The sequence below is a fragment of the Homo sapiens genome, chromosome X (assembly GCF_000001405.40).
Source record: "Homo sapiens chromosome X, GRCh38.p14 Primary Assembly".
NCBI lineage: Eukaryota > Metazoa > Chordata > Mammalia > Primates > Hominidae > Homo > Homo sapiens.
This window is the reverse complement of record NC_000023.11, coordinates 70,497,242-70,524,462: the sequence shown is the minus strand read 5'-3', so window position 1 is coordinate 70,524,462 and position 27,221 is coordinate 70,497,242. Positions and strand designations below refer to the sequence as shown.

The 27,221-nt window shown below is 45.4% G+C and overlaps 2 protein-coding genes across 22 annotated transcripts in view, besides 1 other annotated feature; one reads left to right on the top strand and one right to left on the bottom strand.

Annotated features, from left to right (window-relative positions):
* TEX11 (testis expressed 11) overlaps positions 1 to 13,236 on the top strand; it is a 397,485-nt gene extending 384,249 nt beyond the window's left edge. For 3 of the 4 annotated variants that reach the window (XM_017029650.1, XM_017029651.2, XM_017029652.2), the window contains one exon: positions 13,140 to 13,181. In XM_017029650.1, the coding sequence (XP_016885139.1) occupies positions 13,140 to 13,166 (27 nt within the window). In that variant the 3' untranslated portion in view covers positions 13,167 to 13,181. Of the gene's footprint in view, positions 1 to 13,139 lie in introns of all 4 variants that reach the window. The other variant, XM_017029649.1, reaches the window with a different exon arrangement.
* Positions 15,605 to 16,167: an enhancer, noted in NCBI's record as "NANOG hESC enhancer chrX:69728146-69728708 (GRCh37/hg19 assembly coordinates)". NCBI's record gives its function as "activates a minimal SCP1, AML or CMV promoter by ChIP-STARR-seq in naive H9 embryonic stem cells {active_cell/tissue: H9 hESC(naive)}" and the evidence as "EXISTENCE:reporter gene assay evidence [ECO:0000049][PMID:30033119]".
* DLG3 (discs large MAGUK scaffold protein 3) overlaps positions 18,973 to 27,221 on the bottom strand; it is a 60,656-nt gene continuing 52,407 nt past the window's right edge. For all 18 annotated transcript variants that reach the window (XM_006724625.3, XM_011530883.2, XM_006724626.3 and 15 more), the window contains 6 exons: positions 25,893 to 25,943; positions 25,186 to 25,287; positions 24,414 to 24,586; positions 23,883 to 23,992; positions 23,474 to 23,565; positions 18,973 to 22,300 (listed from right to left, as the gene is read on the bottom strand). In XM_006724625.3, the coding sequence (XP_006724688.1) occupies positions 22,194 to 22,300; positions 23,474 to 23,565; positions 23,883 to 23,992; positions 24,414 to 24,586; positions 25,186 to 25,287; positions 25,893 to 25,943 (635 nt within the window). In that variant the 3' untranslated portion in view covers positions 18,973 to 22,193. The remainder of the gene's footprint in view (positions 22,301 to 23,473; positions 23,566 to 23,882; positions 23,993 to 24,413; positions 24,587 to 25,185; positions 25,288 to 25,892; positions 25,944 to 27,221) is intronic.

Below are 27,221 nucleotides of genomic sequence, written 5' to 3'. Positions count from 1 at the left end.
TCCAGTTGACATCATCTGCACATTTGATCAGCATGCCAGCTAGTGGCTTTAACCAAGTATACGATAAAACACTGAACAGGAGAGGGCTGAGACAGAGCTTGGTGAAGTGCTTTGCAGTCTTACTTCTGGGTTATTTCATTCACACAACAAATATTTCCTGAACACTTCCTGCTAATGGACTGGACACTTCATGGTACAAGAGATAAAGTGGTGAACAAAATAGAGGACCAAGTCTCTCCTTCAAAGAGCTTACATTCTAGTGGGGGCAATAGGTAATAAACTAGTATATAAATAGCTTAAACATTGATCCGTTAATAGCAGACTTTGGGATGATCATTTGCCTGCTCAATAATTGTACTATCTACACTTTTCCAGCCTTTTCACAAGAATGTCATGAGTGATTTTTGTCAATGCCTTGCTGGAACCCAGCTACACTTTACCTATTTTCGAAGCTTTACCCATTTATATTGATTTACTAAGCTCATTTCAGAAAAGAAAATGAGCTTACTCTGTCTTAAGCTATTCTTAGGTAAAGGGTTTATAAACTCTTTGTGATCACTAGCTCCCCTCTAAAGACTCTCATGCAAACCATTCCTTCCAATAACGTATTCCAGAAACTTGCTTGGGATTAAGATGAAACCTTCTTGTCTAAAGCTTGTGAAATCTATCTTCTTCCAAAAAAAAAAAAAAAAAGAGGGGGGCCAGGTGCAGTGGCTCACCCCTGTAATCCCAGCACTTTGGGAGGCCGAGGCGGGCAGATCACGAGGTCAGGAGATCAAGACCATCCTGGCTAACACAGTGAAACCCCGTCTCTACTAAAAATACAAAAAAATTAGCCAGGTGTGGTGGTGGGTGCCTGTAGTCCCAGCTACTCGGGAGGCTGAGGCAGGAGAATGGTGTGAACCCGGGAGGCATAGCTTGCAGTGAGCCGAGATCGCGCCACTGCACTCCAGCCTGGGCAACAGAGCAAGACTTCATCTCAAAAAAAGAAAAGCATAATCCTTCTCTAGGCTTTGGGGCATCTCTCATTCCCCATGATTCCCCAAAGGTTACAAACACCAGTTTAGCGATCTCACTACAGGTTCTCTCAACATCCTGACATACAATTTGTCCAGGTCAAGAGACTTATTTAAAGCACCTTGGTGCTTTCTTACTTACCATGATCCCCAGTTGCCTCTTGCCAATGTCTGCTTGACCCTTTCCAATCTAATGTTCAGAGTTTGGATGGCAGAGAAGACCAAAGCAAAGTAGGAATTACAGGGTCATATTTATCTTTGTTGTCTGGTAAGCATTGCAACATTTTATTTTTCATTTTATACCCTGTGGTACTATTGGCATTTTTTTTACATGTGCTTATATTACTTTTTTAATTTAAAAAACTAATCATAACTAAAACATACTACGTGCCCCAAATGGACTTGAAGGCTTCCTTGATTTGTTTTTTGATGCAAACTAAGCTGTAAATGGCCTCTGTTTTTTTAACTCCTAGCATTAGCTCATTTTGGGCCAGGCCTTCCTGACATGACTTGGGCAGTTCCATCTTACCATCTTATATTCTTCCTTGGTCAGATGCTCTTCTTTCTACCTTTTTAATGTCTCACCATCAAAGAACCCTCTGTCGGCCAGGCGCGGTGGCTCATGCCTGTAATCCCAGCACTTGGGGAGGCCAAGGTGGGCAGATCACCTGAGGTCGGGAGTTCAAGACCAGCCTGACCAACATGGAGAAACCCTGTCTCTACTAAAAAAAAAAAAAAATACAAAATTGGCCAGGCATGGTGGCACATGCCTTTAATCCCAGCTACTCAGGAGGCTGAGGCAGGAGAATCGCTTGAACCCAGGAGGCGGAGGTTGTGGTGGGCTGAGATTGCGCCATTGCACTCCAGCCTGGGCAACAGGAGCAAAACTCCATCTCAAAACAAAGAACTCTCTGTGTATTTGCATCATTTTCTTTAAATACCCCTCCTTTTACGTGTTCCTTAAAATAATTCACACATATATGGTCAGAATTTAGTTTTTAAGAGCCTTTCAACCCTTTTGGGAAGGCAGCCAGGTAGAAAGTGCAGGAAAACTAACAATTAATGCATACCCACTAAGAGCTAAGCACTTACACATGTGCTATCTCATTTAATTAGATAACAACCCTGTGAAGTAGGTGATTCCATTTCATTCCCTCCTTCTTTCACTCTCTCTCTTCCCTTTCTCCTTAGTGATTCCTGTGAGAAAGTGAAGCTCAGAGAGTTTAAGTAACTTAACCAAGGTAACACAGCTGGTAAATGGCATAGCCATGATTTAAAGTCACATCTGGCCAGGCACAATGGTTCATACCTATTATCCCAGCATTTTAGGAGACTGAGGCAGGTGAATTGCTTGAGCCCAGGAGTTCAAGACCAGCCTGGGCAACATGGTGAAACCCAGTCTCTACAACAAAATACAAAACTTAGCCAGGTGTTGTGATGAGTGTCTGTAGTCCCAGCTACTCAAAAGGCTGAGGTGGGAGGATCACTTGACCTTGGGAGGCAGAGGTTGCCGTGAGCTGAGATTATACCACTGCACTCCAGCCTGGGTGACAAAGTGAGACTCTGTCTCAAAAAAAAAAAAATTTTAAGTCATATGTATCAGACCTGTCCTCACTCTTTTCCCTCATGCTACCTTTCTTTTCTCTGAACTTTGAAGTCTGCCCTCTTAAATTCTTAGGCAAAATACCTTACTATGTCTAGCCTTATGCTCTCACAAACTGACATCATATGGTTCCACAAGTTTCCACTTCACCCATCAGTTCTTCATTAATTGGTCAGAATTCGGTAATAAACAGCAAACAGTCCCTCTTGTTGATTTCTTTACGTTCTGAGGGGTAATATCGTCAGCAAGACAAGTAAAGAATTTCTAGGCCAGGCGAGGTGGCTCACACCTGTAATCCCAACACTTTGAGAGGCCAGGGAGGGCAGATCACCTGAGGTCAGGAGTTCGAGATGAGCCTGGCCAACATAGTGAAACCCCATCTCTACTAAAAATACAAAAATTAGCCGGGCATGGTAGAGGGCGCCTGTAATATCAGCTATGGGAGGCTGAGGCAGGAGAATCGTGTGAACATGGGATACGGAAGTTGCAATGAACTGAGATCATGCCACTGCACTCCAGCCTGTGAGACAGAGTGAGACTTTGTTTCAAAAAGAAAAAAAAAAAGGCCCATTCCAAGATGGCCAAATAGGAACAGCTCTGGTCTACAGCTCCCAGCATGATCAACTCAGAAGACTGGTGATTTCTGCATTTCCAACTGAAGTACCTGGTTCATCTCATTGGGACTGGTTGGACAGTGGGTGCAGCCCACCGAGGGTGAGCTGCTGAAGCAGGGCGGGACATCACCTCACCCAGGAAGCACAAGGGGTCAGGGGATTTCCCTTTCCTAGCCAAGGGAAGCCGTGACAGACTGTACTGGAAAATCGGGACACTCCCACCCAAATACTGCACTTTTCCAACGGTCTTAGCAAACGGCACACCAGGAGATTATATCCCGTGCCTGGCTCGGCAGGTCCCATGCCCGCGGAGCTTTGCTCACTGCTAGCACAGCAGTCCAAGATCAAACTGCAAGGTGGCAGCCTGGCTGGGGGAGGGTCATCCACCATTGCAGAGGCTTCAGTAGGTAAACAAAGTGGCCAGGAAGCTCGAACTCGGTGGAGCCCACCACAGCTCAATGAGGCCTGCCTGCCTCTGTAGACTCCACCTCTGGGGGCAGGGCATAGCTGAACAAAAGGCAGAAGAAACTTCTGCAGACTTAAACTCTCTGACATCTCTGAAGAGAGCAGTGGTTCTCCAAGCACAGTGTTTGAGCTCTGAGAACAGACAGACTGCCTTCTCAAGTGGGTCCCTGAGCCCCATGTAGCCTAACTGGGAGACATCTCCCAGTGGGGGCCAATTGACACATCATACAGCAGAGTGCCCCTCTGAGACGAAGCTTCCAGAGGAAGAATCAGGCAGCAATATTTGCTGTTCTGCAATATTTGCTGTTCTGCAGCCTCCACGGCTGTTACCCAGGCAAACAGGGTCTGGAGTGGACCTCCAGCAAACTCCAACAGACCTGCAGCTGAGGGACCTGACTGGTAGAAGGAAAACTAACTAACAGAAAGAAATAGCATCAACATCAACAAAAAGGACATCCACACCAAAACCCCATCTGTAGGTCACCATCATCAAAGACCAAAGGTAGATGAAACCACAAAGATGGGGAGAAACCAGAGTAGAAAAGCTGAAAATTCTAAAAACCAGAGCACCTCTTCTCCTCCAAAGGGTCACAGCTCCTCGCCAGCAACAGAACAAAGCTGGACAGAGAATGACTTTGATGAGTTCACAGAACTAGGCTTCGGAAGGTCGGTAACAACAAACTTCTCCAAGCTAAAGGAGGATGTTCGAACCCATTGCAAGGAAGCTAAAAACCTTGAAACAAGATTAGACAAATGGCTAACTAGAATAAACAGTGTAGAGAAGACCTTAAATGACCTGATGGAGCTTAAAACCATGGCATGAGAACTACGTGACGCATGCACAAGCTTCAGTAGCCAATTTGATCAAGTGGAAGAAAGGGTATCAGTGATTGAAGATCAAATTAATGAAATGCAGTGAGAAGAGAAGTTTAGAGAAAAAAGAGTAAAAAGAAACAGACAAATCCTCCAAGAAATATGGGACTATGTGAAAAAACCAAATCTACGTTTGATTGGTGTACCTGAAAGTGATGGGGAGAATGGAACCAAGTTGGAAAACACTCTGCAGGATATTATCCAGGAAAACTTCCCAAACCTAATAAGGCAGGCCAGAATTCAAATTCAGGGGAAATTCCGAGAACACCACTAAGATACTCCTCTAGAAGAGCAACCCCAAGACATATAATTGTCAGATTCACCAAGGTTGAAATGAAGGAAACAATGTTAAGGGCAGCCAGAGAGAAAGGTTAGGTGACCCACAAAGGGAAGCCCATTGGACTAACAGCTGATCTCTCAGCAGAAACTCTACAAGCCAGAAGAGAGTGGGGGCCAATATTCAACATTCTTGAAGAAAAGAATTTTCAACCCAGAATTTCATATCCAGCCAAACTAAGCTTCATAAGTGAAAGAGAAATGAAATCCTTTACACACAAACAAATGCTGAGAGATTTTGTCACCAGCAGGCCTCCCTTACAAGAGCTCCTGAAGGAAGCACTAAACATGGAAAGGAACAACCCGTACCAGCCACTGCAAAAACATGCCAAATTGTAAAGACCATCGATGCTAGGAAGAAACTGCATCAATTAATGGGCAAAATAACCAGCTAATATCATAATGATGGGATCAAATTCACACATAACAATATTAACTTTAAATGTAAATGGGCTAAATGCCCCAATTAAAAGACACAGACTAGCAAATTGGATAAAGACTCAAGACCCATCAGTGTGCTATATTCAGGAGACCCATCTCACACGCAGAGACACACATAGGCACAAAATAAAAGGATGGAGGAAGATCTACCAAGAAAATGGAAAACAAAAAAGAGCAGGGGTTATAATCCTAGTCTCTGATAAAACAGACTTTAAACCAACAAAGATCAAAATAGACAAGGCCATTACATAATGGTAAAGGGATCAATTCAACAAGAAGAGCTATCTTAAATATATATGCACCCAATACAGGAGCACCCAGATTCATAAAGCAAGTCCTTAGAGATCTACAAAGAGACTTAGACTCCCACACAATAATAATGGGAGAGTTTAACACCCCACTGTAAATATTAGACAGATCAATGAGACAGGTTAACAAGGATATCCAGGACTTGAACTCACCTCTGCACCAAGTGGACCTAATAGACATCTACAGAACTCTCCACCCCAAATCAACAGAATATACATTCTTATCAGCACCACATCTCACTTATTCCAAAATTGACCACATAGTTGGAAGTAAAGCACTCCTCAGCAAATGTAAAAGAACAGAAATTATAACAAACTGTCTCTCAGACCACAGTGCAATCAAATTAGAACGCAGGATTAAGAAACTCACTCAAAACTACACAACTACATGGAAACTGAACAACCTGCTCCTGAATGACTACTGGGCACATAATGAAATGAAGGCAGAAATAAAGATGTTCCTTGAAACCAGTGAGAACAAAGACACAACATACCAGAATCTCTGGGACACATTTAAAGCAGTGTGTAGAGGCAAACTTGTAGCACTAATTGCCCACAAGAGAAAGCAGGAAAGATCTAAAATTGACACCCTAACATCACAATTAAAAGAACTAGAGAAGCAAGAGCAAACACATTCAAAAGCTAGCAGAAGGCAAGAAATAACTAAGATCAGAGCAAAACTGAAGGAGATAGAGACACAAAAACCCTTCAAAAAATCAATAAGTCCAGCAGCTGTGTTTTTTTTTAAAGATCAACAAAATTGATAGACCACTACCAAGACCAATAAAGAAGAAAAGAGAGAAGAATCAAATAGATGCAATAAAAAATGATAAAGGGGATATCACCACCGATCCCACAGAAATACAAACTACCATCAGAGAATACTATAAACACCTCTACGCAAATAAACTAGAAAATCTAGAAGAAATGGACAAATTCCTGGACACATACACCTTCCCAAGACTACACCAGGAAGAAGTTGAATCTCTGAATAGACCAATAACAGGCTCTGAAATTGAGGCAATTATTAATAGCCTACCAACCAAAAATGTACAGGACCAGAAGGATTCACAGCCGAATTCTATGAGAGGTACAAAAAGGAGCTGGTGCCATTCTTTCTGAAACTATTCCAATCAATAGAAAAAGAAGGAATCCTCCGTAACTCATTTTATGAGTCCAGCATCATCCTGATACCAAAGCCTGGCAGAGACACAACAAAAAAAGAGAATTTTAGACCAATATCCCTGGTGAACATTGATGCAAAAATCCTCAATAAAATACTGGCAAACCTAATCCAGCAGCACATCAAAAAGCTTATCCACCAAGATCAAGTTGGCTTCAACCCTGGGATACAAGGCTGGTTCAACATACACAAATCAATAAATGTAATCCATCACACAAATGGAAGCAAAGGCAAAAATTACATGATTATCTCAATAGATGCAGAAAAGGCCTTTGACAAAATTCAACAGCCCTTCATGCTAAAAACTCTCAATAAACTAGGTATTGATGGAACGTATCTCAAAATAATAAGAGCTATTTATGACAAACCCATAGCCAATATCATACTGAATGGGCAAACACTGGAAGCATTCCCTTTGAAAACCTGCACCAGACAAAGATGCCCTCTCTCACCAGTCCTATTCAACATAGGGTTGGAAGTTCTGGCCAGGGCAATCAGGGAAGAGAAAGAAATAAAGGGTATTCAATTAGGAAAAGAGGAAGCCAAATTGTCCCTGTTTGCAGATGACGTGATTGTATATTTAGAAAACCCCATCATCTTAGCCCCAAATCTCCTTAAGCTGATAAGCAACTTCAGCAAAGTCTCAGGATACAAAATCAATGTGCAAAAATCACAAGCATTCCTATACACCAATAACAGACAAACAGAGAGCCAAATCGTGAGTGAACTCCCATTCACAATTACTACAAAGAGAATAAAATACCTAGGAATCCAACTTACAAGGGATGTGAAGGAACTCTTCAAGGAGAACTACAAACCACTGCTCAATGAAATAAAAGAGGATACAAACAAATGGAAGAACATTCCATGCTCATGGGTAGGAAGAATCAATATCATGAAAATGGCCATACTGCCCAAGGTAATTTATAGATTCAATGCCATCCCCATCAAGCTACCAATGACTTTCTTCACAGAATTGGAAAAAACTACTTTAAAGTTCATATGGAACCAAAAAAGAGCCCGCATTGCTAAGACAATCCTAAGCAAAAAGAACAAAGCTTGAGGCATCACGCTACCTGACTTCAAACTATACTACAAGGCTACGGTAACCAAAACAGCATAGTACTGGTACCAAAACAGAGTTATAGACCAATGGAATAGAACAGAGACCTCAGAAATAACACCACACATCTACAACCATCTGATCTTTCACAAACCTGACAAAAACAAGAAATGGGGAAAGGATTCTCTATTTAATAAATGGTGCTGGGAAAACTGGCTAGCCATATGTAGAAAGCTGAAACTGGATCCCTTCCTTACACCTTATATAAAATTAATTCAAGGTGGATTAAAGACTTAAATGTTAGACCTAAAACCATAAAAACCCTAGAAGAAAACCTAGGCAATACCATTCAGGACATAGGCATGGGCAAAGACTTCATGACTAAAACACCAAAAGCAATGGCAACAAAAGCCAAAATTGACAAATGGGATCTAATTAAACTAAAGAGCTTCTGCACAGCAAAAGAAACTACCATCAGAGTGAACAGGCAACCTACAAAATGGGAGAAAATTTTCGCAACCTACTCTTCTGACAAAGGGCTAATATACAGAATCTACAATGAACTCAAACAAATTTACAAGAAAAAATCAAACAACTCCATCAACAAGTGGGCAAAGGATATGAACAGACACTTCTCAAAGGAAGACATTTATGCAGCCAACAGACACATGAAAAAATGCTCATCATCACTGGTCATCAAAGAAATGCAAATGAAAACCACAATGAGATACTATCTCACTCCAGTTAGAATGGCAATCATTAAAAAGTAATGAAACAACAGGTGCTGGAGAGGATGTGGAGAAATAGGAACACTTTTACACTGCTGGTGGGACTGTAAACTAGTTCAACCATTGTGGAAGTCAGTGTGGTGATTCCTCAAGGATCTAGAACTAGAAATACCATTTGAACCAGCAATCCCATTACTGGGTGTATACCCAAAGGATTATAAATCATGCTACTATAAAGATGCATGCACACATATGTTTACTGCAGCACTATTCACAATAGGAAAGACTTGGAACCAACCCAAATGTCCATCAGTGATAGACTGGATTAAGAAAATGTGGCACATATACACCATGGAATACTATGCAGCCATAAAAAAGGATGAGTTCATGTCCTTTGTAGGGACATGGATGAAGCTAGAAACCATCATTCTCAGCAAACTATCGCAAGGACAGAAAACGAAACACCACATGTTCTCACTCATAGGTGGGAACTGAACAATGAGAAGACTCGGACACAGTGTGGGGAACATCACACACCGGGGCCTGTTGTGGGGTGGGGGGGGGTGGAGGAGGGATAGCATTAGGAGAAATACCTAATGTAAATGACGAGTTAATGGGTGCAGCGCACCAACATGGCACATGTATACATATGTAACAAACCTGCACATTGTGCACATGTACCCTAAAACTTAAAGTATAATTTTAAAAAAAAGAATTTCTAAATGTCCTTCTTTCTGTGTGTGTGTGTGTGTGTGTGTGTGTGTGTGACCGAGTTTCACTCTTGTTGCCCAGGCTGGAGTGCAATGGCACTATCTCAGCTCACTGCAACCTCTGCTTCCCAGGTTCAAGTGATTCTCCTGCCTCAGCCTCCCGAGTAGCTGGGATTACAGGCGCGTCCCACCACGCCCAGCTAATATTTGTATTTTTAGTAGTGATGAGGTTTCACCATGTAGGCCAAGCTAGTCTCGAACTCCTGACCTCAGGTGATCCAACTGCCTCAGCCTCCCAAAGTGCTGGGATTACAGGTGTGAGCCACCGTGCCTGGCCAAATGTCCTGCTTTTAAGAAAAGGAAACTTACAGCAACTCTGAGCAAAGTCCCTCATTGCTGCTGTATCTTGCCCTGTGCCATTTTTGTGATGTGCATCAGGAGTATGTCACCCATTTCCTCCATTTTGCAGGGCAGTGGTATGTTACACTATATAACTCCCCTCTTTCTTTCTCCATTTTTTTTTTTTTTTAGATGGAGTCTCGGCTCTGACACCAGGCTGGAGTGTAGTGGCATGATCTCAGCTCACTGCAACCTCCACCTCCTGGGTTCAAGCCATTCTCCTGCCTCAGCCTCCCAAGTAGCTGGGACTACAGGCACCCGCCACCACGCCTGGCTAATTTTTGTATTTTTAGTAGAGACGGGGTTTCACCATGTTGGCCAAGATGGTCTTGATCTCTTGACCTCGTGATCCACCCGCCTCAGCCTCCCAAAGTGCTGGGATTACAGGCATGAGCCACCGCACCCGGCCCTTTCTCCTTTTAACTTCACCAAAACTCTGTAGAGGGCTATATCCCCACCTTTGTGGATTTCTATGCATATAGCACAACGTCATCTCCCATTCTAAAGGACGCCTTCTTAGGCTTCTTCAAATGCCAAATTCCAGTTGTAAGTTTCATTCCCCCAAATCTTAGTGATACCTCTTAGCTAGTATTTATCACCATGAGTTAAAAATTCAAGTTCACTGTATAATATTAAGTTGAACCATATGAGGTCACCATTTTTGTAGTCAAAAACAGTTGGATAATGGCAATTTCATACGGTTCAAACTAATGCATGTGCTGTGTATTTATACCAAGACAGCTGAAGCTGTAAGTTCTATTTATGACTCTTTTCCAAGATATATTCTTCTGTGCCTTAATGGGCACCTCCCCCAGTACTGTTCTTGCTGTCATATCTGATATCATTCCAGAGCAATTGATTTTATAATATTATCAGGACACTTTTTTCCTTTCCCTTCCGTTTTCAATTTAAAGTTCTCTTTATCAGATCAACACGGCTCTCGGTAAACACATTTTTCCCAGTTATCATAGAGAACTCTGTCCTTAGCCAAGAGCCCAGCAATCCAGTATTTTAAACCATGATCCAGACAAAACAAATCCTATTCTAAAATTCCATCTCTAGGGGATCACCCCACTGTGCCCATATCCCAGCTACTCCAGAGGCTGAGGTGGGAGGATTGCTTGAGGCCAGGAGTTTGAGGCTGCAGTGAACTATGATCCTGCCTGTGAATAGCCACTGCACTCCAGCTGGGGCAACATAGGACAATCCCATGTCAAAAATAAATAAATAAATAAATTTTTAAAATTCCATCTCAAAAGGCAGCCATTTCATTATATATATATTTCATTATTATATATATATTTCATTTCATTATTATATATAATATACATTACATATATTATGTATTATATATATATCCTTTTTTTTTTGAGATGGAGTTTCACTCTTGTTGCCCAGGCTGGAGTGCAATGGCACAATCTCTGCTCACTGCAACCTCCGCCTCCCAGGTTCAAGCAATTCTCCTGCATCAGCCTCCTGAGTAGCTGGGATTACAGGCACCCCCCACCACGCCTGGCTAATTCTGTATTTTTAGTAGAGACGGGGTTTCTCCATGTTGGCCAGGCTGGTCTTGAACTCCCGACCTCAGGTGATCCACCCATCTTGGCCTCCAAAAGTGCTGGGATTACAGGCGTGAGCCATCATGCCCAGCCTATATATTCTTTTTTATTCCAAAGTACCAATTTTCTTGTGTAAGAGGAAAACAAAACCACCTGGTCCCCCAAGTCCTTGAATTTTCTGCCCACAACTTTATAGTCCTTGAAGATCATTTCCATGTCCCCTTTGGTGTAGCCACTCATCCCTACAAGAGGGACAACTGCTAGAATAAGAGGTGGAGGAAGGTGGAGATGGGCAGCATTTGTTTGACTTGATGGGTTTCCCACAGCTCTTTGTTAAATGGCAATGAAAATACATGATCAAAGGCGATAGTCATGTTATGTCTGCATATTTACAGCTCCCTCCATATCATCAATCAGGAAGTCACCAACTTCATTCATTCATTCATTCATTCATCTGTCCATTCATCCAGTGAATAACTGTGGTTTAGATCCTCAATGAGCTTATAGTCTGATAGGGGAAGGGGTTAGGCTTCCATTTATTGTATTAGAATGATTACAATATTAAAGATAGAGGGTGGGTGCTATGAAAGTGGGGGGAAAGTACTGAGATTCCAAAGGAGGGAATAAGGAAATGCTTTGCAGGCAGGGCACCCAGTCACTGCTCATGCCTGTAATCCCAGCACTTTGGGAGGCTGAGGCAGGAGGACCACTTGAGGCCAGGAGTTCAAGACCAGCCTGGCCATCATGGTGAAACCCCGTCGCTACTAAAAATACAAAAATTAGCCGGGTGTGGTGGTGTGCACCCACAATCCCAGCTATTCGGGAGGCTGAGGCATCAGAATCGCTTGAACTCAGGAGGTGGAGTTTGCAGTGAGCCAAGATCGCGACACTGCACTCCAGCCACTCCATCTCTAAATAATAATAATAAGAAGAAGAAAATGCTTTGTGGAGAAGGTTGAACTGGGTTTTAAAGATGTATAGGATTTGGACATAAGGAAGGAAAGGAGAGGTATTCCAGGCAAAAGGAAAAGCATGGCAAAGGTGCATAGCTTTGTGTGAGGGGCAGTGGGTTCAGTGTATTTGCAGCATGGAGTCCTTAAAGGGGAATAGTGGGAAGAGGTTAAAAAGGCAGGTTGGAAGCAGACTATGGAGGGTCTGGAATATCTACCTAAGGAGTTTAGACTTTATTGTGTAAACCACTGAAGGAGTTTGAGCTTAGGAGTGGCAGGGTCAGAAATGGACCCCAGGAGTATTAACCTGGGCAACACTGGGTAAATCGGATTGGAGAAGGGAGAAGGTAGAGGAAGGAAGACTAACTTGGAGGCCACTATAATCTCCCTATGTTGCCCTTTTTTCTTTTCTTTTCTTTCTTCTTTTCTTTTGTTTTCTTTTTTTTTTTTTTTTTTTTTTTTGAGATGGAGTCTCAGTCTGTCACCCAGGTTGGAGTGCAATGGTGCGGTCTCGGCTCACTGCAACCTCTGCCTCCCAGGTTCAGGTGATTCTCCTGCCTCAGCCTCCCGAGTAGCTGGGACTACAGGCATTTGCCACCACATCTGGCTAATTTTTGTATTTTTAGTAGAGATGTGGTTTCACTATGTTGGCCAATTTGGTCTCGAACTTCTGACCTTGTGATCCACCCGCCTTGGCCTCCCAAAGTGCTGGGATTACAGGCATAAGCCACTGTGCCTGGCCCTATGTCACCCTTTTATAAAGGTCCACAATTTTCATTAACAGCACTTATCAGTTTGTGTGATTATTTATTTAATATCAGACTAGCTCCAAGACAGTAAACTCTGTAAGGGCAGAGGCCATATCTGTTTTGCTCACTATTGTATCCACAGGGTCTGACACATGGAGAGAATAATTGACAGTGCCAAATATAACAGAAAGGCTGAATTGTGTGTTGGTTGAATGAATGGAAGTAATGAAGAATTGAATTGCGGCAACTGCAGTGAAACCGTCTCTACTAAAAGTACAAAAGTTAGCCCGGCATGGTAGGTATGAGGTCTGTGAAGGCATAAGATCTGGTGACTTGGGACTGGGCGCAGTGCTTCACACCTGTAATCCCAACACTTTGGGAGGCTGAGGCAGGTGGATCACCTGAGGTCAGGAGTTCGAGACCAGCCTGGCCAACATAGTGGCAGGTGCCTGTAATCCCAGCTACTCGGGAGGCTGAGGCAGGAGAATCGCTTGAACCCGGGAGGTGGAGGTTGCAGTGAACCAAGATCGTGCCACTGCACTCCAGCCTGGGTTATGGAGTGAGAAACTGTCTCAAAAAAAAAAAAAAAAAAGATCTGGTGACTTGGAAGTCATATTGACTTTTAGGCACAATTTCAGTGGGGTAGTGAGAGAGCAGAAGCTAGACAACAAAGAAGTACAAGGTGGAAAGTAGCAGCAGAACTAGGCAAGTCAGCAGAGTACAGGCACCCACACTGGAACCAAATTGTCTGGGTTCAAACCCTTGCTCTCCCACTTGGGAGTTATATGACCTTGGGCAAGTTATTAAATGTCTGCAGACCTCAGTTTCCTCATCTATAAGATGTCCACAACTACCCTCACAGACTTGTAAAGAGAAAGTGAGTAAATACACACAAAGCTCTTCGAGTAATACCTGACACAGAACAGGCGCTTTCTAATGTTTACTGTCATTATTCTGCTCTTGCTGTCTGGCAGGGTCACCTGCCACCGCTAAATCTTGACATTTCTCTCTTCATTCTCTCATTCTCCAGATCTCTATTTACTGCCTCCTGGAAAGGCTTCCGGCCTATTATTATAGGGCAGCTCTAGTCATGCAGGGGTTTTCTCTCTCTCTTTTTTTTTTGTCTTCTACTCATATTCTTGACTCTGGTTTTTATTCCCCTTTACCTCCTCTATTGCTTCTTATTATTTCTTCTGTAGAATGACCCAATTCACCCCTTAGTGACGTGAACTCTAGTAGACCCTGAAGCATGTGTCTGTCATTTCCTCCTTTGACATTCCTCTACTTAACAGCAGGATCTGTTTACTTTTACCTCCTTATTTTTTTATCCTTTTTTTTGCATTTCTCCCAACCTCTCTGATAAGCCAGAAGAGGGTGGCAGTTTGCAAACCTAGTTTGCGAGCCTTTTTATTTCCTCAAGAAAAGATGATAGTTGAAAAGCTTCCACTGATTCTAACAGCCACAAAGCCAGCAATTGCTCCAACTAAAAGACAAACCTGGTTACTCCACTCTGCAGCGCACAGGGGCAGTTTCCACACCTCCTAGTTATGTCTCCCACCTATGACTATGCTCCCATGTGCCCAGCCCCCACACCACCCTCCCACCCATCTCAAATGCCTCTCAGCAGGAGCCACTGGGGGCACTTCAACTCTACTTAGGAGGGGTTCCATCTTGTGGTACTTTTGGCACCTCCATTCCCATATTTCCCTAGCACCATTTCTTTGCCCGACTGAAAGAAGTGATTCTATCACAAAGTTGTCTATTTTGTCCTGCTGTCCTGGAATGAGACCCTTCTGCCCAGCTAGGAAAAAGCCATTTCCCCTGGTCCCAGTCCATGCATGTCCCAGGTGTTCTTTGCTTCTTCACAGCAGGCACCAAGCCTGTCCGTCTGTAGTGTCTGATTGTGTATAAACCGAATGTGCTCAAGCGCCATGTTCTTTGACAGCTCTGTTTAAGCCTTTTATGTCATCTGTGTCACCATTTGGTTTTTTTAACTGCAAATTCACAAAAAGTGTGAACTGGCTTTTTGTGAGGGATTCGGCATAGCACATGCCCTTTAGAATTCTACTACTTTATCATGATCATTAAGTGTGGGAGCTGGGAGAGGCTTTGGAGATTCTTTGTCTAACTTCCTCATGTTTTAGAGTAAGATAGTGAGGCTCAGAAAGGGGAAGTTCATTCACAAATCATTTATCGAGTATCAATCATGTTCAAGGCATGTGCTGTGAGGGATAGAAAGATACACTAGATACAACCCCAGCGTTCTAGAAGCTTTTTGACTGGTTGGAGAGTGTATTATTGACAAATTGCTACCATGCAAGAACAGAGTGTGTTCAGTACCAACTGCTAGAGCGGTTCAAAAGGAGGGAAGGGGAAGCTCCTCTGCCATGATCAGTGACATGATCATGGAAGGTGACATTTGAGCTGGAGCTTGAAGGGTTTCATTAAATAAGAGATGGGGACTGAAAACACTCCAGACAGAGGTCTTGCTCATGGGTAAAAACTCAGAGTCTAGATTGGTTTGTAGAGAAGTATCAGGAGATAATGCTGGACAAGCAGATTAGGGCCAGTGGAGTGTGAAATACTTCCCTCCCCAACACCCACGTCCCCTCCCCTACCAGGCTGGTCCTGCTTATCTCACAGGTTTCAACCTGAATTTCATCTCCTCAGAGAAGTTGTCCCTGGGCACCTTTTCTAAGTATTAGCCTCTATCATTGTATCCTATGTACTTCCTTCATGGCATTCACTCAAATGTGTACTTATGTATTTAGTCATTTCCTGCTTTGCTGTCCCCCGCCCCCAACTAGATGATGGGCCCCTTGAAAACAGGCTTTATTTGCCATTGTCTTTCCAGCACCACGCACAATGCTTATCAGCAGGTGCTCACCAAGAAGTAGCTCTTGTCACTACAAGGGTAGGGGCAGTGATAATGACAACAAAGGACTGGATTGAAAAGACATTGCAAATAATCCACACATTTTGGTAGGAGATCGGATATGATGACCAGAGTGGGGAGATCAGGGCTTAAACCTGGGTGACTAGAGCAATGGCAGCACTTAGGGGTGGGGGAAGAGAGCAGAGGGAACCGAGCTGTAGGTGGGAGGAGCCCATGGAAGGGGTGGGGCAGGATGGGAGAGAAGTGAAGTCATCGGGGAGAGCAAGGCATTTTCCCGTCTAGGGTCTTGGAATTTCATGCTTGGAAGGTAATGGCTGGTCTTTGAGGGCTTCTAGATGCTTGATCAACTTGTGTTGCATAAACGAGTGATGGTAGTAAAGGAGAGCAGAGCGGGTAAAAGGTTCAACCCTGGGTGAGAAGACAGTAGAGTGAAAAGAAGGGGAAGGAGCAATAAAGGATCAGAAATGGATGAAGAAGATGAAAAAGAGGAGTCATAATGATGGAGTGAAATCCCAGAGGAAGCGGCAGTGGCTTCAGAAAAGAAGCTCTCCATAAAACAAACCAAAATAATTCACACTCGCCACAGGTTTGGACCTGGTCAAATCACTTCCCTCCAAGCTTGAGCCAAAGACCAGTGCAGCTCTTTTCTTTTACCAAGCATCTACTATGTGCCAGATACTGTACTAAGTGCGGGGGGTATAAAGGTGAACAGGACATAGTCTCTGCTCTCAACGAGGAGTCTAGGAGAGGAAGACAGATGCAAAGAGATGGGGCAAGAAAATGTTCTAAGCAGAGCAAAGTGAGATGCAGCCTGGGCCTGGTGTGCTGAAGAGCACAGCTGCTACAGCCAGACAGCCTGTTTTGGGCTCATAGCTCTGCTACTTATTAGCTGTGTGCCTTGGTTTCCCCATCTGGAAAACATGGATAATAAGAGTAACTGGGCCAGGCGTGGTGGCTCACACCTGTAACCCCAGCACTTTGGGAGGCCGAGGCAGGTGGATCACTTGAGCCCAGGAGTTCAAGACCAGCCTGGCCAACATGGAGAGACTCCATCTCTACTAAAAATACAAAAATTAGCCAGGCGTGGTGGCACGCGCCTGTAATCCCAGCTACTTAGGAGGCTGAGTCAGAAGAATCGCTGGGACCCGGGAGGCGGATGTTGCAGCGAACTGAGATAGTGCCACTGTAGTCCAGACTGAGCAACAGAGACTCCATCTCAAAAAAAAAAAAAAAAAAAAAAAAAGAAAAGAAAAAAAAGAGTAAAGAGTACCTGCCTTCTAGGGCTGTTTTGAGCAACAGGTGAATTAGTATGCGTACAGCACATAGCAAGCAGGAAATAAATATGAGCTGCTATAGTGATGACCAAAGTCCTTACAGGGTATAAGACAGCACTCAGGGTGGGAAGGTCAATTCTACCTACAGGGTGAAAGGGAAGAAGAGGTGGTGGTTCAGGAAAGTGAGCACTGAGAGGGGAATTCTTGAATTGAGTCTCGAGATATTAAGAGGAGGCCAGGCGCAGTGGCTCACGCCTGTAATGCCAGCACTTTGGGAAGGTGAGACAGTAGGGGGATTGCTTGCGCCCAGGAGTTGGAGACGAGCCTGGGCAACATGGTGAAACTCCGTTTCTACAGAAAATGCAAAAATTAGCTGGGCCTGGTGGCACACGCCTGGGGTCCCAGCTACTCGTGAGGCTGAGATGGGAGAATCACTTGAGCCTGGGAGGTAGAGAGGCTGCAGTGAGCTATGATCACACCACTGCACTCCAGCCTGGGTGACAGATGAGACCCTGTCTCTCTGTCTCTCTCCCCTACCCTCGGTCTCTCAAACAGTCTTCCAGGTTAAGCAAGATGGGGCAGCAGCAAGGGCATTTATGGGCATACAGAAAAAGGATGAGCCAAGACCCAGGGCTGTGGTGCATTCAGGGAACTCAAATGCGTAGAACAGAAGGGGGCACAGCAGAAGAGACAGGAGAGAAAGCCTGGGGCCTGATGGTGGAAGGGCTATGCTAAGGAGCTGGGACTTCAACTTCTCCCTGTGGGTGGCAGGACCCATGGGAAGGGTAGGGCATGTGAGGCAGATGATTCTGTCAGCCTGGGCAGGACTGGCCATAGGCAGACAGGAAGGCCAGACAACAGAGTATCCTCTCACACATGCTCTTCACTGGGAGAACGCAGGTCTGAAGCCCATTCTCAAACCACCCGCTTTCCAGTTCTTCAAAGTGTTAGGTACGTGTGCTTAGACTACCAGTGGTGGTGGAGGGAAGGCCACACGGGTAGTTCATTCGGTCTAACATGGAAGAAGCCAGTGGGCATCACATTGTGCACAATGGGAACAGCTCTGCAGATAAAATCTAGCTGGGGCTTGTTAAAGAAGCTTTGCTATTTTCTGGCAAAGCAATGAGGTATCGACACCCTGTTCACTGGGGAGGAACCGAGGTATGCAGGAGCCAATACTATTTCTTGGAAGTGACAGGGGAAGAACCTTTTGAGGAAACAAATCTGAGCTTCAGAGTGTTATTTGCAATGATGATAAAATGTCCTAGAGGTGCCAAGGAAATGGCTGGAGATGGATAAAAGGACTAGTGGAATCAAGGCCATGAAATCTTAGGTGGGAACAGGGATGAAATACAAAACTCGGGAATGCTGAGACTGAATGAACACTTCCAAGGCCCAGGTTGAGGTTGTCGGGCATCCAGGATCGCTTTTGACTTCAGTGCTAATTCGTCAGCTTGCCTTGAGAAAATTACCAGCTCTCTCAACACTTTCTCACCTAATTGCAGTGGTTGGTATTAAGCAAGGATTATCCCTGAAGAAAGGGCTCCACTGGCCTTTAGTGCTGGCTTTTCTGCTTGAGCTGGCACCCCTTCTCAGTCCCACTTTTTTGCTTGGCCTTGGCCTGCTTAGGATACTTCCCCTCCCCTCTAGGCTCCTCCCAAACCTGCGGCTCAACTCCCACTTGCTTCTGCATCTTTCTTAGCTCCGCCCTTGAGCTACTCGACTTCCACACTTGCTGCAGGTAAGGATTTTGTTTTCATTAGCTGATTTCTAGAAGCACTTTCGACTTAAGACAAAGCTGGTCATTTGTGCTTGAACAAATATTTTATTTATTCATGGGTAGACCATAAGGTTTGATAATACAGTTCTTCCTCTGTTAGAGATGAAGGAGTCAAGGCATGATCAGCTGCAATGTCAGCAACAAAACCAGGAGGAGATAGGGCTCTCTCCTCCTTCAGGACACGGCACAGCACAGCACGGCAGTGTTAAGGGTGTGTCTCCCTTTGGGGTTTCCAAGTTGCTCTGTATCTTCTCGTGCTGGGGCTGAATGTTCTTCAGCTGTACCTCCACTAGGAGAACATCAGCTGTGAAGACAGAGCCTCAACAGTGTGACCACAGGACAGATCTTTGTTCTCTTTGTCCTCAGGAGATGAATTTTCTTAAGCTCTCATGGAGCTCTTTGGGGACTCCCTTTTGTTAGGCTGCCTTCAAGCAAATGAGAGAATGTGGGAAAGCAAGCAACCTGCACACCATAAAGCACCACAAGCAAGAGGACTCACCCTTCCTGTGGCTCAGCCCACACACATTTCAGGTGGCTCATTCATCCAGATGTTGCTCTTGACCTTATGAATTATGACAGCACTTCCTAAGACTCCTCCGCACAAGTTGCAATGGCACCTGCCACGTCAGAACTGCCAGAACTGCCTGCTCTAAGCATCCCTCCCCTCCTCAGAGGGCTATGGGGATGACTGCTGTCCTGCTCTGCAAATGGGCCCATCCCACCCTCATTTTCGGAAACACTGGTAGCTGGCAGGTCACTTTCTCTGGCCATTTTTCTCACCCAGTTCTCTGCTACTAAATCAGGCCCCTGCTTTCTCTAACACACACCTCTGCTACAGCAGGCCTCTCCCACCTTGTGTACCTCTTGGGAAAATGTCAGCATTTTGCCACCACAGATGTGGACTCCCATCTGGTTGGTGCTATTTGAAGCAGTGTCTGGGGCTGGGGTGGAAGACCAAGCACACAACTTTCACAAAGGGCCTGTCACCACCCCAGGGAGCTGTACCGATCCCCAGGACGGCCCAGCTCGGCTAGCTGATCATCACTAAGGAGAGAGCCCTCTGGCCCCCAAAAGTTTGGGATGTTCTTCCCACTGCTTTGCCCACGCCCTCCCTTCTCAACTACTTTAAGAAGGTCTCTGAGCCACAGTTCATTGCAACTATCGTTTATTAAAAAATATATGTCTCCTTGGAAGAAACACTGGTAAACCCACTAGTATCATGCTTACTTTGAATCTTTGTTTCTCTTCCCTGGGAGGGGGAGGGCTGAGCACGGTTGAGACTTTGCCACTTAGTTAACATCAGAGAATCAACCTCCCTGCTCACCCCTCCTCACCAGAGTCACAGTCGGCTGTCACTTTATCCCTTTTTGCCTTCAAGCCATTGTACTGCCCAGGGAAAGCCGCTGTCCTTTCCTTATCCTCATCCTGGGTCCCATGCTTTATACAGTTAGCCTCATTCTGCTGGTTGGACAACTGTTAACAGAGTTCCCGGATTCGGCTGGTAGTGCTTAAAGCATCCTCAACATTGCCTCGCTTGCACCAGCCCTAACCCAGCGGGCTAGGAAACAAGTGCCTCAATCCTAGGGCCAAGCACTTCTCTGTTCTCCCCTGCGTCGTCCCTCCAGTATGGAGGCGAGGGAGGCACGTTGGCTTCAAAGGAGCACAGTGGGGTGGGGGGGGACCTGAACCACACCTGCTGCCTGCACTTGTGGCGGTGAAGATTCCCTTGATCACAGTCACTGCCATCAGACTCTGGGAAAAAGCAACAAGGTTTCACAGCTCACCAGTAAGCGAATCTTAGCTCTACAGCTCAAATGTACAGCATAAAGTCTACTTTCCTCTTGAAGAAACCATAAGCTACCAGCTGTTGGGGAGGGGCTGGAGCAGAGCATATGAAGCAGCTGCAAAAAAAAAAAAACCAAATCAAACTCATGACGCAGCTGGCCAAGCAAGCCAAGTGCTGTCCCGCCATCCCAGCACAGAACTGGAAGGCAAGTGACTCCCTGTCCCTGTTGGTGGAACCCAGGAAGGAACCTCAGCAGAGCCCTCCGTGTCCTCCTCTCAGCCCAGCCCCTGCTTTCCCTTCTGCTGACAGGACAACCAGGCCTGTGTCACCTACTCCATCACAAGGCCTGGCTCCTTCAGGACCTCATAAGCCTTTAGAACCTTGGCAAATTGGATTCTATGCATTCACTTAAATAGTAAAAGTAAAATTTGCAATAATGAAAAGGCTGACACAGTAGCACAACATGGTTTTGGTTTAACAGCAGCTTAAAAAGGAACAAAAAGGAAACCTCTCATGCAGACACATCAGGTGGCATAAAACAATAGGCAATTCCACGCGGAGCATCATTAGCCATTCTCTCTGTCCGCACACAGGACTCTGGCTGCACCTCAGGGGCAGCAGCTGCTTTCAGGTCAAGTCTCTCACCCTCTCACCCCAGGCAAAAGCCCTTCCTCTCCGGCCTCAGGCTGACCCCTCCTAGCTCTCAAGAGAATGACCAAATGCGAGTGCCCTTAGTGCAGCACTTGCTACCATCTTCAATCCCTTCCCAACCAGCTGGGATAGAAGATGCCATCTGATTGGAATATGAAAATTAAAGCATTTCTCTAATAACATAGTACCATTGATGAAGTCTCCATAGATTTTCTAACCCAAATGTGTGTGAATATATATATATTATATGAGAGTGTATAATATATATATATAATAATTTCTATATATTTTATATAAATTACATATATATATCTATATATAAATAAGATACTTTCTGTCGCCATTACGTTGCACCGTTCAGAGCTGCAAGACAGCAGTACAGATAGGGAGAAATGCCCAGGAGCATCTCATCATGTGGTGCATTTAGCTCACTTCACAAGCCGTGCAGCTGTCCAGAGTCTGTCTTTCCATCAGTCCTCCTCTTTTCTCTTCACTTCTGCTTGGTTTTTATGAAAACAATGGCTCTGATGGATTTTGCACCTGTGCTAGCGCTTGGGAAAGGTCCATGCAGGAATGGGCACAGTCACATGATGAATGAGATGGCATCATCCCAAAAAATAAACTGAAACAAACAAAAACTTAAAAAAAAAAAAAGAACAGGACTAGAAAACTTAATTTTTTTTGACATATCTAAAAAAGGGGACAAGAACAGTAGCATTTGTTCTCCCCATGGGGACAGGAATGAAGAGGGAGGAGGGAAGAGGGACTTGATTTCTTCTGTTCACAAGAGAATGGTTGGAGGGGATTCTTCAGAGTTTTTCAGGGGATGGGACCCAAATGTAGTGCCCAGACTGGTCCTCAATGATTTGTTTGATTTTGTTATAAATCTCTTCCAGTGAGTCACCCTGTACAATGGCTAAAGTGAAGAGGAAAACAAAATTATTACTGTGGTCCATAGCACATCCCCCAAACCCAGCAATCCTGCCTCTCCCAACAATCCTACAAGTCCCCCCTCCACCCCCTCACCCCTCACATGAAGGACATGTTCCCAGGAGTATGGGTTTGGGCTTGGGTTCACTGGCTGGCTGCCTGTGTGTTCAGGGCAGTAAGGGCAACCAACAAGGTACCCCAAGTCCAGGGCTTGAAGTCAACTCACTGAGACAGTGAGACTAAGTAGTAATGACCAGAAAAATGTGTTTATTCAAAAGATGTTTATTGAGCACCCACTATGTGCCAGACCTTGCAGTTCATGTTGTTCTTGGGTGCCATAAGGCCAGCAGCTTGTTATTCTAAAGCAGCCTTACTAAAAGATTTGGAAAATCGCAGTTCTCCACAGAAAGAACTGAAAGCCACAATTTCTGGCAAGAGGCAGCGCTCCTGGGCCCATCACATCTGCTGTATGTCAGAGGTCAGCCCAGCAAACAAGGACATGGATGCTGATGGTAAAGGGAGCTCTGAAGACCCAAGGTGTGTGAGGACATTTATGAATTCTTTACACAGTTAACCTAGTGTCACCACCAGCTAGAATGGATTCGGCACTGCCTTGCATATATTTATGTATATATATGTCACTGTACTTCAAAAGGTGAAGAACGTATTACATAGAAACCTTCCCAATGTTTCAGGAACTGACCTTACACACACACACACACACACACACACACAGACAGACAGACAGACACCCCAACAGACAACTTGAACAGCACACCGAGGAATCATCATCATCAACAAACGTTTATTCAGCACCTAAACATGCAAAGCAAAGTACTGGGGGAGGGGGAGTGGAGCTGAAACGGAGGGAGACAGAGTAATACAGGGAGCCTACAATCTAGTAAGGACAAGACAAAATGAACAAACCAACAATTCAAGGAAGCATTTGGTGAGTGGTTTATGCTATAAACTGGCTGAACTGCTATGGCTGGACACGGGGAACTTGTGTGCTTTGGAAAGGTTTGTGCTCAAAAACTTAAAAGCAACTGGAAACTCCGTGCAAGGTTTCTACATTCTGTCTACACCTCTTTGAGACACTTATAGAAACAGGTACCTGGCTAGTTCCCCAGAACCCCCCGCAGGGCAGCAGGAGTCTTACCTGTAAAGTACTCTCCAAATTCCTGCTCCAGTTTCATGGCTTTGTCATAGATCTTATTTGCTTGTTCATATGTCTGCCTTCGGTTCATTTCCCTGCCAAAGACAGAAGAAAAATAGTTCTGAACCAGATCTTATGTTCTGATTAACCATAAAGGATTATTCCAGGATCCCTAAAAATCTGCTAAGCTGCCCTCTCAGAGCAGCAGTGGCCCGTAGCTAACTCCTCAAACCTGCGTTCAAAAGTCCAACCATGAACATATGCACAAGCCCTCAAAACAGGAGCGCCCAGTGACCAGAGCTGGGGCACAGAGTTTCTTTCAAGTTTCTGCCCAGCAAATCACTTTCTTCTCCATTTCCCTTCCAGACCCGATCTTAGCTTGGTGTGTCTGAGTTCTCAGTTCAACACTTACATAAGGGCTTCAATGGACTTGGGCTTGATGAAAATGGCAATGGGGTAAAGTTGTGCTTGCTGCAGTCTCTTGATAGCATTGCCGGAAACATCTAAGATGCAGTGCTTGCCCTGAAAAAGCAGAGATTGTAACAGCCCAGCCACTCCCTATTCACCAAGTCCCAAGCAGAAATCCAGTGACATTCTAAACATCCACCTTGGCCGGGGGTGGGGGTGAGGGGAGGGGCACGAGGGCCACCCAAAGTGGCCTAAGAAATTCGATCTCTGAAGTAGACAGGCCCTACTTTTTGCTCCTATTACCCAGAAAAGGCCACATCTGTCCAGGGCCCCCTATTCCCTGTTGGGTAATGCTCTGGGGTGAGTTGTATGAAGGAGACAGATAGCTTCGTCAAGGCGCTGGGAGTATGCAGATGTGCTATGGCTTTGGTCAGCAGCACTGTTGGGCAGCTCCTGTGTTGGAAGGATAAGGATCCAAGTGGAACCTTGGCATAAGCATTGGCCTCCCCTTTGAGGCCATCTCCTGTACACTTACCCTCTCTGCAACTGCCCGCACTGACTGGATGCTGGTCCCATAGAGGTTATCATTAAATTGGCCCGCCTCGATGAACTTGTTGTCCTGAATATCTTTCTCCATTTGTTCTCGGGACACCACAAAGTGGTAGTCTTGTCCATCCACCTCATTATCACGTCGAGGCCGGGTAGTATCTGAAGGAAGAAAGGAAATGCTTTGTGGCCCAGGGGCAGTGATCCGCCCCAAACCAAAAAATACTGACTGGTCCATTCTCATCTGGGTGGGTCACTGGGCCACTCCATTTTTTTTTTCAAGTAAGTGGGAGAAAACAAGCAGTTGGGAAGCGGTTTGTCTGGCCTACTTCTCTTCCAATCTCCAGGTCTCACACAGGGGGCTATTTGCTTTAGCTTAAACTGGACTAGAAAGGTGGGGTTTCCTGAGCTAAAGCATGGCAGAGGGTGCCAAACTTGGTAGAGGAGACAGTGAACCTAACAAACTGTTAATGGAGTCACATCAACACCACTTTGGCTGGGCCTCCGTATTTGTCCAATCATTCTCAACCATCACCACTGAAACTTCCCCTCAAGAGTGAGCAGCCAAGCCTGATGGCTTAATCTCTCCAACCCCATCAGCTTTTGGGGAATATATTGCCACCTACTGTTTTCCAGCGTGTCAAATGTACCCTGTCCCCAAATAGCCCTAGAATCTGATCCCAGACCTTTTCCATAAAACATTAGAGCAACAATTCCCAGGGCACCAAGCCTCACTCCTCTGGGCCTTCCTGGACTCTTACGTGGCACACAGGATCCAAATTTATGTGGAAATTCGGAGATCAGGTCATCATTGACTCGGTCCTTCATTGGGCCCAGGATGATCACAGGCCTTGCATAGTGAACTAGAGAGGGAGAGCATCGAGACAGTGAACAGAGGCCCCCACCAGACAGCCTGTCCTACCCCTGAGTCTGGCTAGAACACAGAGGCTCTGGAGCAGAGACTCAGACAGGGTAAAGCATCCTCAGACATTGTCTGGCTTTTAAACAGAAAGACATCAAAGAGCCTTTAATTTGAGAATATCTAAGTTCAAGGCAAGTCTGAAACCGGAAGCTGCTCCCCTTCTAACAGAGTCAGAAAAAATCTCTGCACTGACACCAGTAACTGAGCAAGGTTTTTGCAGAGCAGCCACTGAAGGGAAGAACCTGGACCTCTCTTTTAGCAGTGGCTACATCTACTGAAATAGACTTTCCTTGTAAATTTGCCCCCTCCTTTGGAAGGTGTCCTGGCAGCAGGCAAAGGCACAGAGAGAAGTGCACACTGGATGCACCCCCTTCCCTATGACACTAGGAAGAAGCATAGAGAAGAAGGAGCCCAGGGGCTGGATGTGCCATGAGTCAAGCCTTCCTCCTCCTCCAGGTCCCTCCCTCTGCTGCCACAGCCACCCACTGTATTGAGCCCCACGACCAGGAGACCAGCACGAAGACAAGGCTCTCAGAGGAGGCTTACTTTCTTGCCGTGTCACTGGCTCATATGACAAAATAGCATCCTCTTGTCCTTCTGCAACAAAAAAGAGAGATAGGTTAGCACCATATGATCTGCCTCCTTCTGTACAGTACTCCCCGTACCCCTCCCCTGCCAGGACACAGCCTTATCAGGTGGTCCTTGCCACCACCTGTGATCCTTTCTGTTTTCTGCTGGTGAGAAAGCACATGAAACCCTTCACTGGCTCTGAGACAGGAGTCAGCAGTTCTCTTGTTCAGTGAAATATCACTGGGCAAAGGGCCAAGGCCCAGAAGCCATGAAGCCTCCACCCCAAACCACCCCAATTTGTGAGGAACTCTTCTTGTAGGTAACAAGTCAGCTGTGTGCAGTAGCCCCCTTGCTCTGGTAAGAATGACAGGGACACTTTGACTGGTTGAGATGCTTGCCCGAGTCCCCTTCATCAACATGCAGGGGAGTCAGGGCACACACCCAGGTCCCCAAGCAGCCTAACTTTGCCCTTTTAAAGGTCTACCAACCCACCTCCTGCATTGGAAGCAGCATCCAGAAAAGTGGCACATGGCTCTGCTAAGGTCCCCAGTGCCCTTTAAGAGCAATGCTGAACCTGCTGTCTCTTCCTGGTGGAGCCCCATGTCGAGCCTAGCAATGTTGAGGTTTTCCTAAAACAGTCGTCAAGCCACTCGGTGCTGGGTGCCTGGAGGTCCCAAAGTGGCTGATGGCAGTCCCAGGGAAAACAGTGATATTTGCATCAAGGCACACAATGCTTGCTAAAAGGCTTCTTCTGAGCCTAATATTCCTGGGCAGATTTTACAAGGCTTCTAGCCACCATAGCTCCTGAAAAACCAGTGCTCCCAAAGTTCATGAGGTTTGAATTACGGTTTCTCTGGTCTGGTCACAGGATCTCCCAAGGAGAACTTGGCAATTACCTCATCCTTTAACTGGCCCCAAAGGCAAAGAGGTCCTAATGACCTGGAAAGGCAGATTTAGGGCAGTGTCCTAGAGGAGCCATTTTTCTTTTGGTCTCTGAGCAAATCTATAAACCTGGCAGCACCTATGGCCCACAGTACCCATGGCAGGGATTTACTCTTTGGCAGTTTACCCTTCCCAGTGCCAGGGATGCTTTTAAGTCAGGTCCCGGCCAGCACTATAGGGCTTATACTCTCCTTTAATCCATGGGGTGAACCCCAACCCATAAGGAGAATGAACTGGCCACAGCATTTCTAGGATCTCAAAGTGTACATGGCTAAAAGAAGCACCAGCCTCTGAGCAGCAATGGCAGCTGTGCAACACTGGAATGAGGATGGCTGGGATACACAGTGGAGCTACACGACATGG